Genomic DNA, 14,365 nt, shown 5'->3' on the forward strand with positions numbered 1-14,365 from the left:
TGGTTTCGAACTCCTGACCTCAGGTGATCCTCCCACCTCGGCCTCCCAAAGTGCTGGGGTTACAGGCGTGAGGCATCAGGACCGGACTAATTTTTGTATTTTTTAGTAGAGATGGGGTTTCGCAGTGTTGGCCAGGCTGGTCTTGAACGCCTGACCTCAGGTGATCTGCCCACCTCGGCCTCCCAAATTGCTGGGATTACAGGCGTGAGCCACTGCGCCTGGCTGCTTGTTTTTTGTTTTTTGTTTTTTGTTTTTTTTAACCTTTTGGCTGTCACAAACAATGTCGCAATAAACACAATGTATACATATGTCTCTAGGAGACCCTGCTTTCAGTTCTTTTGGGTATATATCGAGAAGTAGAATTGTTGGGTCATACAGTAAATTCTATGTTTAGCTTTTTTAGTAATTGCCAGATTTTTCCACATACTATTTTACATTCCCACCAGCAATGCACTTCAATTTTTCCAAATTTGTATTAGTCTACTAAGGCTGTTCTAACAAAATACCATAGATTGGGCAGCTTCAACAACAGAAATTTATTTTCTATTCTGTTCTGGAGGCCGGAAGTCCAAGATCAAGGTGCCAGTAAATTCAGTTTCTGATGAGGGCTCTCTTCCTGGCTTGTAGACGGCTGCCTTCCTGCTGCATCCTGACATGGCCTTTGGAGAGAGAGAGAGCTCTGGGTGATAGCCCAGGGCTCATCTGGTTGTCCCTGCAGAAGTGTTCGCTGCTTCTCAGCACCCACAGCAGATTTTTGTTGCTGCTCCTCTTTTCTTCTAGTGCCACTGTCTAAATTTAGATTCCCCTAAAGAAGAGCCTGAGACGAGAACTTGGTAGCTTATTTTGGAGTTGATTCCAGGAAGCACAGCGCGGGAGAGGGAATGAGAGACAGGGGAGTGAGGAAAGCCACCGAGCAGGTCACCTCTGCAGGCAACTGGGCTCAGTCCCCCACCAGGCCCGCTGTGGGGACATGCAGAGCACAGCACAGCACTGCACGCCCAGGGATGGGAAGCCCGGACTCTTCTTTCTCTTCTTCTAAGACACCAGTCCTATTGGATTAGCTCCCCAACTTTTACCTCAGTTAAGCTTAATTATCTCCAAAAGACGTTATCTCCAAATACAGTCATACTAGGAGTTAGGGCTTCAACATATGAATTTGCAGGGAGGGGTACAATTCAGTCCACAGCGACATCCTTGCCAACACTTGTCATTTTACAAATTTTGATAATAGCCATCCTGGGGAATAAGAACTATTTGTGGTTTTGATGCTGTTGAGCATCTTTTCATGGCTTCTTTCTTAGCCATTTTTGGTTTTTGTTTTGTTTTGTTTTTTGAGACAGAGTCTTTTTTTTTTTTTTTTTTTTGAGTCGGAGTCTCACTCTGTCGCCAGGCTGGAGTGCAGTGGCGCGATCTCGGCCTACTGCAACCTCCGCCTCCCAGGTTCATGCCATTCTCCTGCCTCAGCGTCCCGAGTAGCTGGGACCACAGGCGCCCGCCACCACACCCAGCTAATTTTTGTATTTTTAGTAGAGACGGGGTTTCACCGTGTTGGCCAGGATGGTCCCTATCTCTTGACCTTGTGATTTGCCCACTCGGCCTCTCAAAGTGCTGGGATTATAGGCGTGAACCACCGTGCCTGACCAAGACAGAGTTTTATTCTGTTGCTCAAGCTGGAGTGCAGTGGTGAGATCTGGGCTCACTGTCACCTCTGCCTCCCAGGTTCAAGCAATTCTCCTTCCTCAGCCTCCCGAGTAGCTAGGATTACAGGCGTCCACCACCATGCCTGGCTAAATTTTGTAATTTTAGTAGAGACAGGGTTTCACCATGTTGGCCAGGCTGGCCTCGACCTCCTGACCTCAAGTGAGCTGCCCACCTCAGTCTCCCAAAGTGCTGGAATTACAGGCATGAGCCACCATGCCTGGCCCCTTTGCCATTTTTTAATTGGGTTGGTTTTTGGGGTTTTTGTTTTTTGGGGGGTTTTTTGGTGGTGGTGAGTTGTTGGAACTTTTTATATAATGTGGATATTAAATCGTTACCAGATATATTATTTGCAAAAATTTGCTTCCATTCTGTGGGTTGCCTTTTCACTCTCTTGATAGTATCCCAGCTGGACGTGGTGGCTTACACTTGTAATCCCAGCACTTTAGGAGGCCAAGACAGGAGGTTCGCTTGAGCCCAGGAGTTTGAGACCAGCCTGAGCAAGGTGGTGAAACCCCGTCTCTACAGAAAAATTCAAAAATTAGCCAGGCATGGTGCCACACGCCTGTAGACCCAGCTACTCAGGAGGCTGAGGTGGGAGGATAGCTTGCTTGAGCCTGGGAGGTGAAGGCTGCAGTGAGCCGAGATCACACCACTGCGCTCCAGCCTGGGCAATAGAGGGAAACTCTGTCTCAAACAAACAAACAAACAACAACAACAACAAAACCCATAATATCCTTTGATACACAAAAGTTTTTAACTTTGATGAATTGCAATCTATTTGTTTTTTCTTTTGGTGTCACATTTAATAAATTGTTGTCAAATCCAACATCATGAATATTTGCCCCTATATTTTCATCTAAGAGTTTTTGTGTTTTAGTTCTTAGATGTAGGTCTTTCATCCTATTTTTTTTGAGATGTAGTCTCACTCTGTCACCCTAGGCTGGAGTGCAGTGGCACGATCATGGCCACTGCAACCTCCGCCTCCCAGGTTCAAGCGATTCTCCTGCCTCAGCCTCCTGAATAGCTGGGGCTACAGGCATGTGCCACCATGCCCGGCTAATTATTGTATTTTTAGTAGAGACGGGGTTTTGTCATGTTGGTCAGGATGGTCTCGAATTCCTGACCTCCCAAATTACTGGGATTACAGGCATAAGTCACCATGCCTGGCCTACTTCCTACTTTGTTTTTGTTGTTGCTGTTGTTTTTTGTTTGTTTTGTTTTTGTTTTTGTTTTTGAGACAGAGTCTCCCTCTCTCCCCCAGGCTGGAGTGCAGTGGCGCAATTTCAGCTCACTGCAACCTCCACCTCCCGGGTTGAAGCGATTCTTCTGCCTCTGCCTCCTGAGTAGCTGGGACTGCAGGCATGTGCCACCAATCCTGGCTTTTTTTTTTTTTTTTTTTTTTTTGAGATGGAGTTTCGCTCTTGTTTCCCAGGCTGGAGCGCAATGGCACGGCCTTGGTTCAGTGCAACCTCTGCCTCCTGGGTTCAGGCGATTCTCCCGCCTCAGCCTCCTGGGTAGCTGGGATTACAGGCATGTGCCACCACACCCAGCTAATTTTGTATTTTTAGTAAAGACAGGGTTTTACCATGTTGGTCAGGCTGGTCTCGAACTCCTGACCTCAGGTGATCCGCCCATCTCGGCCTCCCGAAGTGCTGGGATTACAGGTGTGAGCCACCGCGCCTGGCCTACTTTGTTTTTTAAGATATTACCTCCCTTGCAAGTTGTCAAGAGAATGAGAGTTGAAAGTGAAGCGCCTGCCACAGAGCTGGACACATAGTAGGTGCCTAACAAACAGCAGCTCTCCATAGGAGAAGGCTGGTTCAGTCCCTTCAGGTTGAAAGGACCAGAGACTTCTCGGGTTCCCTCAAGCACACTGGTAGCACAGCAGGTTCACAGGAAATCCTCCCTGTCTGCGCAATCTGGCCTGGGAGACTGGAATGTCGCTCAGTAGGCCGCAGGCCTCCATCTGGTTGTCCCTGCAGAAGTGTCCGCTGCTTCTCAGCACCCACAGCAGATTTTTGTTGCTGCTTCTCTTTTCTTCTAGTGCCACTGTCTAAATTTAGATTCCCCTGAAGAAGAGCCTGAGACGAGAACTTGGTAGCTTATTTTGGAGTTGATTCCAGGAAGCACAGCGCGGGAGAGGGAATGAGAGACAGGGGAGTGAGGAAAGACACTGAGCAGGTCACCTCTGCGGACAACTGGGCTCAGTCCCCCGCCAGGCCCGCTGTGGGGACGTGCAGAGCACAGCACAGCACTGCACGCCCAGGGATGGGAAGCCCAGGTACTGAGCCAGGGCCTGGAGGTTTTAAATCCGTGGCCCTTCTGGGTTACCCTGCACAAAAGGCTGAGCAAGTGTTCACTGCTCCAGAAAAAAACCCCTCAGGCTGAGAAGCAGAGAGATGGGGGTACTGAAGTGAAGCTTGTGTGTGCAGGGAACCACCGCCTACACCTGCAGGTGGACTAAGAAGCCCCAAGGGGATACAGCGCAGGGGACCAACAGCTCCTGCAACCACCACGGCCTCTCCGCCGCCTTACTCCTGCGTACTCCTGCATGCTTAAAGCTTCTACTGCCTCAACTTCTACTTTTAGCTGTCATCTCTGTGGATCTCTGGGTTTCTGTGTCTCTGCTGCACAAATCTCCACGTAAGCCTTGCGTTTCATCTGTCCACAAGAAACAGGTGATTGGGCAGGACTGTTCACGCTAGCCCAGCTCACAGGGCACTGACCTCCAGAGATGGCTGCCCTTGCCACAGTCACCTGATCCTCTTCCAGTCCATGTGTCTGAAGTCCGAGGAATAGAGCATAGCAACTTGTTCATAAAAACAATTTGTGGGCCAGGAGCAGTGGCTCACGCCTGTAATCCCAGCACTTTGGGAGGCCAAGGTGGGTGGATCATTTGAGGTCAGGAGTTTGAGACCAGCCTGGCCAACATGGCGAAACCCCGTCTCTACTGAAAATACAAAAAATAGCTGGGCGTGGTGACGGGCGCCTGTAGTCCCAGGTACTCAGGAGGCTGGGGTAGGAGAATCGCTTGAACCTGGGAGATGGAAGTTGCAGTGAGCCAAGATCATGCCATTGCACTCCAGCCTGGGCGACAGAGCGAGACTCTGTCTCAAAAAGAAAAAGAAAAAGAAAAAAAATGTCTGACACCTTCTCTAGTCGGGGCTGTGGAGTGACAGCACCCAGGGTCTCCTGGATGGCTGATCTGTAGTAAGTACTGTTACCCCCTTTACAAATGAGAGTATGGGGCTCAGAGTGTTGGAGAGACTGTGCCCGGAGGCCGATTTGGACCTGAGTGCAGTCTCCTGACTCCAAATCTCATGTTCTTTCCACTGAATGACTTTACCTCTTATGCAGGGAACAAACTCTCCAAGTGTTGAGTATCATGAAATCTTCCTATTTGGAGCCGGGTGCCGTAGCTCACGCCTGTAATCCCAGCTCTTTGGGAGGCTGAGGCGGGCGGATCACCTGAGGTCGGGAGTTCGAGACCAGCCTGACCAACATGGTGAAATCCCATCTCTACTAAAAATACAAAAATTAGCCATGCGTGGTGGCCGGCACCTGTAGTCCCAGCTACAGGGGAGGCTGAGGCAGGAGAATTGCTTGAACCTGGGAGGCGGAGGTTTCAGTGAGCCGAGATCGCACCATTGCACTCCAGCCTGGGCAACAGACGAAGACTCCATCTAAAAAAAAAAAAAAAGAAGAAGAAGAAATCTTCCTATTTGGGGTGTGGGTGTGGGAGTCATCTCCCGATAGAAAGGGATCTGCCCAGGGAACCTCAGGCTTTCCAGGGCTCTGGGTTCCTGGGTGGCAGCACCTGCGTGGATGTTCACTAAAGCCGGAATAAATAAACCTGTAGCTCTCGAGTCAGATGAAATACAACCTTTTCCTGCCGGGCGCAGTGGCTCATGCCTGTAATCCCAGCACCTTGGGAGGCCGAGGCGGGCGGATCACGAGGTCAGGAAATCGAGACCATCCTGGCTAACACGGTGAAACCCCGTCTCTACTAAAAATACAAAAAAATTAGCCGCGCATGGTGGCGGGTGCCCGTAGTCCCAGCTACTCGGGAGGCTGAGGCAGGAGAATGGCGTGAACCCGGGAGGCGGAGCTTGCAGTGAGCCGAGATCGCGCCATTGCACTCCAGCCTGAGTAACAGAGCGAGACTCCGTCTCAATAAATAAATAAATAAATAAATAAATAAATAAATACAACTTTTATGAAATTCTAGTGGAGGCGAGTCATAGTAGACATCAAAGATTTCAGAAAATTTTGTGGGAGAAAAGCATTAGACTGAAAAGAATTCTATGTATTCCCTTAAATATTTCTCGGAACTGGCGTGAGCTATTGGTACCAGTCAGGTTCCTGGTGGCAAACAGAAGAGACCAACTGGCTAGCTTGTGCAGGAAGGGGATTTATTGGGAGACCATCAGACAGCTCAGCAAATGGCAGGAAGGGTTGGACAAGGGATTACACACCTGTGATCCCATCTCTTTGGGAGGCCAAGGTAGGAGGATTGCTTCAGCACAGGTGTTCGAGACCAGCCTGGGAAACATGGTGAAACCCCATCTCTACAAAAAATACAAAGATTAGCCAGGTGTGGTGGCACATGCCTGTAGTTCCAGCTACTTTGGAGACTGAGGTGGGAGGATCACCTGAGCCCGAGGAGGTCAAGGTTGCAGTAAGCCATGATCACGTCACTGCACTCCAGCCTAGGTGACAGAGCAAGATCCTGTCTCAAAAACAAACAAAATGAACAAATGGCAGGAAGGCTAGAGAAGAAACTTAGAAAAAAAAAAGGCCAAACCAAGAGGGACAATAAGGCAGCAGAGACCAAACCACAGGAGCTGTCGGCCGACACCGCCACTCCTGTACACTCATCATGGCCTGCAAGCAGGTGGCCCCTGTGACACTCACTGCCCACCACTGGCCCCTAATCCCACCCTCTATATAGGAGCCTCTCAGATTGACCCAGTCTGTGTCACATGCCCACGCCGGCTGCCCAGGGTGGGTGGCAGGAGGTGATGCCTGATCGGCTTCTCAACTTGTCACTTCCAAACCTCTGCAGGAACTCAGAGGCTCCGCTCAGTGAAACCCTCTATTCTCTAGCCACTGGCCCTATTTCTTTTTTTCTTTTCTTTTCTTTTCTTTTCATTTTTTTTTTTTTTTTTTTTTTTTTTTTGAGATGGAGTCTTACTCTGTCACCCAGGCTGGAGTGCAATAGCATGATCTTGGCTCACTGCAACCTCCGCCACCCGGATTCAAGCAATTCTCCTGCCTCAGCTTCCCAAGTGTCTGGGATTACAAGCAAGCGCCACCACGCCCGGCTAAATTTTGTATTTTTAGTAGAGATGGGATTTCACCATGTTGGCCAAACTGGTCTCCAACTCCTGACCTCAAACGATCCGCTTGCCTTGGCCTCCCAAAGTGCTGGGATTACAGGTGTGAGCCACCATGTCTGGCCCACTGGCCCTATTTCTTTGTTAATTGCCATTGTCTATTATAGAGTATGACAGGAGCAGGCTCAAATGTTATGGAGCCTGGAGCTTATGCATTCAGGAGGAGACTCTTTAAAAGGTAATACAAAGTTGCACATAGAAATTGCCAGAGCCCCTCTCTGGGCCTTGGAAGGGGTTGGTGCAAATGAGAGGCCTGCAGCTTAAGCTTCAGCAACTTCATCGTGAATCCCCCGAGGAGAGACAGACCAGTTCATGAGCCATTTCCTATCCGTGGATGTCATAGATTTGTCAGGTTTTCTGCTGTTACAAAAATGCTGCAAAGAACATTCTAATATGCAACTCTTTTGTGAACATGTGTAAGTATTTCTCCAGGTTAGACAGAAAGAGCTGGAATTGCCAAGCTGTAGAACATGAGTCTTTTCATTTTTATCTGATGGTGTCCTGCCAAATTGCCTCCAAAGGGGTGTCACTAAATCCCACTCCCATCAGAGTTGCAGTGAGAGTTTTCTCACATCTTTGCCAGCACTGGATATAATAATATTTTTCATTTTTTTGCCAACGGACGGAAAAAATGAAAGCGATCTCAACGTTGTTTTAATTTGCTGTGTTAGTTTTTTAGGGGTGGTATAACAAAGGACCACACACTAGGTGGTTTAAAAACAGAAATGTGGCCGAGTGCGGTGGCTTACACCTGTCATCCCAGCACTTTGGGAGACCGAGGCGGGCGGATCACTTGAGGCCAGGAGTTGGAGACCAGCCTGGCCAACATGGTGAAACAACGATTCTACTAAAAATACAAAAATGAGCCAGGCGTGCTGATGCATCCCTGTGATCCCAGCTACTTGTGTGGCTGAGGCACGAGAATCACTTAAACCTGGAAGGCGGAGGTTGCAGTGAGCCAAGATTGTGCCACTGCACGCCAGCCTGGGCAACAGAGTGAGATTCCATCTCAAAAAATCAATGAATGAATAAATAAATAAATCGAAATGTATTGTCTTACAGTTTTGGAGGCTCAAAGTCCAAAATCAAAGCGCTGGCTGGGCGAGGTGGCTCACACCTGTAATCCCAGCACTTTGGGAGGCCAAGGCAGGCGGATCACTTGAGGTAAGGAATTCGAGACCAGCCTGACCAACATGGTGAAACCTTGTCTCTACCAAAAATATAAAAAAATGTGCCGGGTATGGTAGCTCATGCCTGTAATCCCAGCTACTTGGGAGGCAGAGGCAGGAGAATTGCTCAAACCCGGGAGGCAGAGGTTGCAGTGAGCTGAGATTGTGCCACTGCACTCCAGCTTGGGTAATAGAGCAAGACTCCATCTCAAAAAAAAAAAACAAATAAACAAACAACAAAAAAAATCAAAGTGTGGACAAGACCATGCTTATGCTGAAACCTGTAGCATAGAATCCTTCCTCGCCCCAGCCGGGCACGGTGGCTCACACCTGTAATCCCAGCACTTTGGGAGGCAGAGGTGGGCAGATCACCTGAGGTCGGGAGTTCAAGACCAGCCTGGCCAACATAGAGAAACCCTGTCTCTACTAAAAATAAAATAAAAATAAAAATAAAAATAAATTAGCCGAGCATGGTGGCATATGCCTGTAATCCCAGCTACTCGGGAGGCTGAGGCAGAAGAATTGCTTGAACCTGGGAGACGGAAGTTGCAGTGAGCCGAGATCATGTCATTGCACCCAGCCTGGGCAACAGAGCAAAACTCCGTCTAAAAAAAAAAAAATCCTTCCTTGCCCCAGCCCAGCCTCTGGTGGTTTGCTGGCAATCTTTAGCATTCCTTGGTCTGGAGATGCCTCCCTCCAATCTTCCTGTCTGTGTGTCTCCGTCTTCACTGGCCAGCTCCTTCTAAGGACGCCACGTTGGATGGGAGCCCACCCTACTCCAGTATGACCCCATCTTGACCAACTACCTCTGCAATTACCCTGTTTCCACAAAGATCGCATTCTGAGGTGGCTGGAGGTTAGGACTAAAACATATTTTTTTGGGAATGACACACTTCAGCCCGTAACATTTACATTCCTCTAATTTCCAGGGACACTGAACATCTTTTCCTAGGTTTACTGGGAATTTGGACCCTTCTTCAAATCACCCTTTCATATGAGTTGCCCGGTTTCCTATTGGGTTTTCTTATTTGTTTTGTTTTGTTTTTGTCATTTTCTTATTTCTTTCAAGATTCTCTCTATTTTTCATTATGAAGCTGTTATACTGTGGCAGGCAAAGGTTTCTCCCAGCCCGTCACATGTGTGTTGACTTTAGTTTTTGTTCGTTTTGTTTGTTTGAGACGGAGTTTCACTCTTGTCACCCAGGCTGGAGTGCAATGGCACAATCTTGGCTCACTGCAACCTCCGCCTCCCAGGTTCAAGTGATTCTCCTGCCTCAGCCTCCCGAGTAGCTGGGATTACAGGCACACGCCACCATGCCTGGCTAATTTTTGTATTTTTAGTAGAGATGGGATTTCACCATGTTGGTCAGGTTGGTCTCAATCTCTTGACCTCGTGATCCACCCGCCTTGGCCTCCCAAAGTGCTGGGATTACAGGCATGAGCCACCGTGCCCGGCCTGTTTTTTTTTTTTGTTTTTTTTTTTAAGACAGAGTCTCACTCTGTCACCCAGGCTGGAGTGCACTGGCTCTATCTCAGCTCACTGCAACCTCCACCTCCTGGTTCATGTGATCCTCCCACCTCAGTCTCCCAAGTAGCTGGGACTACAGGCGTGCACCACCACACTCGGCTAATTTTTTTTTTTTTTTTTTTTGGTATTTTTAGTAGAGACAGGGTTTCACCATGTTGGCCAGGCTGGTGTCAAACTCCTAATCTCAAGTGATCCTCCTACCTCAGCCTCCCAAAGTGCTGGGATTACAGGCATGAGCCACCATGCCCAGCCCCTGCAGGCCTTTTCACTTGAGAGTTCTCCCTTGAAAGCATCCGTCTCACTCATTTCCTTCAGGTATTACATTTCATTTTCTCAATGACCTTTCTTCTTCCCTAAGCTCAAATTCAGGTAGAGCTCCCCACTCCTACCGGCGTTTAGCCCAGTGAGCAGTAATGTGCACCCAGCCCCTGAACTCCAAAACACACGCAGCCCATGAGTGAGAGGGAAGGTGGGTGCCCCAAGCCTGCTCCATTCCACTTTTCAGAGACAACAGAGACTCAGGTCATGGAAGACAGAAAGATGTCCCGCCCTTCAGGGTAAGAACTTGTCTTTTATTGTGCTGAAAGACGCATACTCTCTTCCTGCGCTGCCCAAGACCTGGTGCCAACCAAGAAACAAAATATTACTTGACGTGCTCTTGGCTGCTGCTCCTCCTTGACTACCTGCCTAATACCGAGGATGAATTGCCTTGGGGAGAATTAGAATTGCTAAAGCAGGAATCATAAATTCAGCTTTTGACTTTTCAGAACGGGCTCTTGAGGCCCGAATAAAATAAAATAGGCTTCTTTAGTTATCCACTTATTCAACAAATATTTATTACACCTCTGCTATCAGCTGGGCAGGTTCAAGGCGTGGGATACAGCAGTGGAAAAGGTGATGCTTCAAAGGAGGGCCTTGAAAACAAACAGGAAAGACCACGAGCGGTGGCTCACTCCTGTAATCCCAGCATTCCGGGAGGCCAAGGAGGGTGGATCACCTGAGGTCAGGAGTTCAAGACCAGCCTGGCCAACATGGTGAAACCCTGTCTCTACTAAAAATACAAAAAATTAGCTGGGTGTGGTGGCTCACGCCTTTAGTCCCAGCTACTCAGGAGGCTGAGACGGGAGAATTGCTTGAACCTGGGAGGTGGAGGTTGCAGTGAGCCGAGATGGTGCCACTGCACGCACCAGCCTGGGAGACAAAAGGAAACTGTCTCAAAAGAAAAGAAAAAGATGGTGTTTTGCCCACATCCTCCATGGAGCTTGTCCTAGTGGAGAGAGGAAAATCATCAAATCAACAAGGAAACATCGGTATGTCAGGTGCTATGGATTGATCTAGAGAATAACAGAGCAGAGCAACAGGAGAGAGTGGAGGAGGGATTGTTCTGTGGCAGGACCTTCAGGGTGGGGGTGGGCCTCTGGGAGGAGGTGGCATTGGAGCAGATGTGAGTGTTTTGAGAAGAGAGAGTAAGGAGGGCCAGTGAGGCGGGGGATGGGAGGGCAAAGGTGACCATGGCGGGGAGTGAGGTGGGAAGGAGCCCTCCTGCGGGACCCAGCCATGGACTCGGGAATCTATCCCAAGCACTTTAGGAAGCCGAAGGAGGGGAGGAGCTGGCTCTGATGTGGGTCTGGGGAGGTTCACTCTGGCTGCTCCTGTGGGAGGGTGGAAGCTGTGCCTGGGCCGGGTGAGCAGTGGCGGAAGCAGGGACCCAGCAGCAGCCATGGGGCCACAAGTGCACATGGCCCTGGTGGCTTCCGAAGCAGGAGCCGCTGGCACCTGGTGTTGGGTTGGGAAAGGGGGAAAAGGAAACAGAGGTCTCTAAGGTGACTTCTGGGTTTTTGTCCTAAGCGACAGAGTGGACAGTGGTGCCATTTCCTGGGGGAAGAGCGGGTTTGAGGGACCACGCCTTGCACTTTGGAAGGTGTTTAAAACATCCACGTGGCAGTGCCCAGCAGGTAATCCCATGTGCAGGCTGGAGCGCTGCGGAGAGGCTGGAGGTGGAGATAAATGTGGGAGTCACTCATTGGCAGAGTGTACTCCAGTGGGAGTGGGTTAGATCCCCTATGGAGTGAGCTTCAATAGAGAAGAGGAGGAGTCTGAGGAACATTCAGGGGACAAGAGCCCATGAGGCTCCACGCTGCCTAAAGCCCTTGTCTCCCAGCTCACATGTTGTCACCTGAATGCCTGGCCCCACATGGCTGTCGACATACCCCTATCTGACCAGTCTCACGCCCCTCCTCATCTGCCAAGTGCCCCACCTGTCCTCAGGCCCCAGCCCCTGCCCACAGCAAAGCCCTCTATGTCCCCACCCGCTTCTCTGCTCACCTGACTCTTCCCTGAGTGAGGACACAGCTTCCTTTCAACCCTTCAAGGAGGCTGCTTTTTCCTTCCAGGCTCCCTGTCCCAAAAGGCTGGAGATGGGGTCGGGCTCTCCCAAGTTCCTCGTTGCTTCTTCCCGATCATTGTCCCTCTCTCCTTCCTCAAACCTCGCAGCACCTTTGGTGCACAGGCTCTGGAGTGATCTCCCTGGTTCCAGCCACATGCCTTCCTCCCAGGCAATCCACGTCAGCCAGGATCACACACGCAGTGGCTCCCCGTCTGTCTCTCTGCTGCTATTCCCTCCACCTCCCTTCACCAGGATTTCAGCATCATGGATGTAGACAGCCCATCCAACCCAGGACCTAGGGCCCAGACCTCCCTGCTGCCAAGGATCTGTTCTTTGGCCACCTGCTGACCTGGTCATATTATCATTGGCAAGAACAGTAGTTGCTGCCGAACTGCTACTTTTAACCCCCCGTCTCAGACCTCCACCTCCAAATGATATTCTGTCTTCTTCCTCTTAGTCTCCTGATGTGACAACTTCCTTACATTTGGGACTCCTAAGCCACCAATGCTCCATCTTTTAACTGGTCACCATTCCCTTTCCTATTCTTTTTTTTTTTTTGAGACGGAGTTTTGCTGTCGCCCATGCTGGAGTGCAGTGGTACAATCTCAGCTCCCTGCAACCTCTGCCTCTCGGGTTCAAGCGATTCTCCTGCCTCAGCCTCCCGAGTAGCTGGGACTACAGGCACGCGCCACCATGCCCGGTTAATTTTTGTATTTTTAGTAGAGACTGGGTTTCACTATGTTGGCCAGGCTGGTCTTGAACTCCTGACCTCGTGATCTGCCTGCCTCAGCTTCCCAGAGTGCTGGGATTACAGGCATGAGCCACCACGCCCAGCCGAGCCAGAGTTTTTGATGTCACGTGCTTGGCTTTGAGCCCCTGAATGGGGAAGGACATGGTATTTATCTACTGACAGTACATTGGAAGAGAAGAGATTCACCAGAGTGGGAGGAAATTACACCTAGGGGCTTGCAGGGAGTTTGCTGGGGCCTTCTTGACCCGGGAGAAGAGCAGGAGTCGCAATCCTCTCCCAGTGCCAAGCACTCTGCCGGTGACTGAACCACCTGCTGGGACTAGGAGACACCTGCCACTCAAATGAGCTCTGCTACGCATTTCACCTGCGCCCTGTGTCCAGGAGGGCTGAGCCATGCGTCTGCCCTCAGACGAAAGCTCCCAGGACCAGCTGCTCGCACATCACCCATGGGCCATCCAGCTGGGATGCTCTTCAGCCCAAATTGGTTTGATTCGGCAATAAGGAGTTTGTTAGTGACCTGCAATAAAAGTTTCAGTGGAATTTGGGAGAGGCCAGGTGGCTCCAGGGAGTATGTGGTATGTGAGGAAACTGAGGCAGCCAATGTAAACAACTCTTTGAAGAAGTGCTTTGGGGCCAGTTGCGGTGTCTCATGCCTGTAATCCCAGCACTACGGGAGATTGAGGCAGGAGGATCACTGGAGCTCAGGAGTTTAAGACCAACCTGGGCAACATAGGAAGCTCCTGTCTGTACAAAAAAAAAAAAACAAAAAAAACAAATTAGCCAGGTATAGTGGCGTGCACCTGTAGTTCCAGCTACTTGGGAAGCTGAGGTGGAAGGATCGCTTGAGCCCAGGAGGTCGAGGCTGCAGTGAGCTGTGATTGCACCACTGCACTCCAGTCTGGGCGACAGAAGAAGACCCTGTCTCAACAACAACAACAAAAAGTGCTTTGGCTTCAGAGCTAGGTTACTTGTTAGAAAAAGACACAAGGTAGAGAGAGGGAGGTAGACATGGAAGGGTTCTTGTTTGTTCTTGGCAAGGAGTCAGTAGAGAGAGAGAGATGGAAGAAGCCCAAGAGCATCCAGGAGCCAAAGGTGGAATTTAGGGAATCAGACGGTGCACAGCGGGGAGGACTGGCCTTCAGTGGGAAAAGGACACATCTCCCCTCCAGGAGGTGATAGATGGGGCAGTCAGATAGGCACCTGGGTGGCAGGATAATGGGAGAGTTCCTGTCTGAAAGCTTCCAGTTTCTGAGTATAACAGAAAGTGAGGTTTTCAATAGCCATGATGGATGATTTTGGGGGCGAGCTGATGAGGAGAGTCAAGCTGCTGGCAGGTAGTATTGGAGGACACAGTTATGGTTGATGTCCGTGGATTGATGGCACCAGATTCTGCAGTGATGTGATTTTCTCCAGCACAGCTTAGGACCCAGGTGTA

General features: G+C 49.9%; 2 annotated features.

Annotated features, from left to right (window-relative positions):
• Window positions 12,757-13,258: an enhancer, noted in NCBI's record as "H3K4me1 hESC enhancer chr22:41387857-41388358 (GRCh37/hg19 assembly coordinates)". NCBI's record gives its function as "activates a minimal SCP1, AML or CMV promoter by ChIP-STARR-seq in naive H9 embryonic stem cells {active_cell/tissue: H9 hESC(naive)}" and the evidence as "EXISTENCE:reporter gene assay evidence [ECO:0000049][PMID:30033119]".
• Window positions 13,259-13,758: an enhancer, noted in NCBI's record as "H3K4me1 hESC enhancer chr22:41388359-41388858 (GRCh37/hg19 assembly coordinates)". NCBI's record gives its function as "activates a minimal SCP1, AML or CMV promoter by ChIP-STARR-seq in naive H9 embryonic stem cells {active_cell/tissue: H9 hESC(naive)}" and the evidence as "EXISTENCE:reporter gene assay evidence [ECO:0000049][PMID:30033119]".

Source organism: Homo sapiens, chromosome 22, assembly GCF_000001405.40.
Source record: "Homo sapiens chromosome 22, GRCh38.p14 Primary Assembly".
Taxonomy (NCBI): domain Eukaryota; kingdom Metazoa; phylum Chordata; class Mammalia; order Primates; family Hominidae; genus Homo; species Homo sapiens.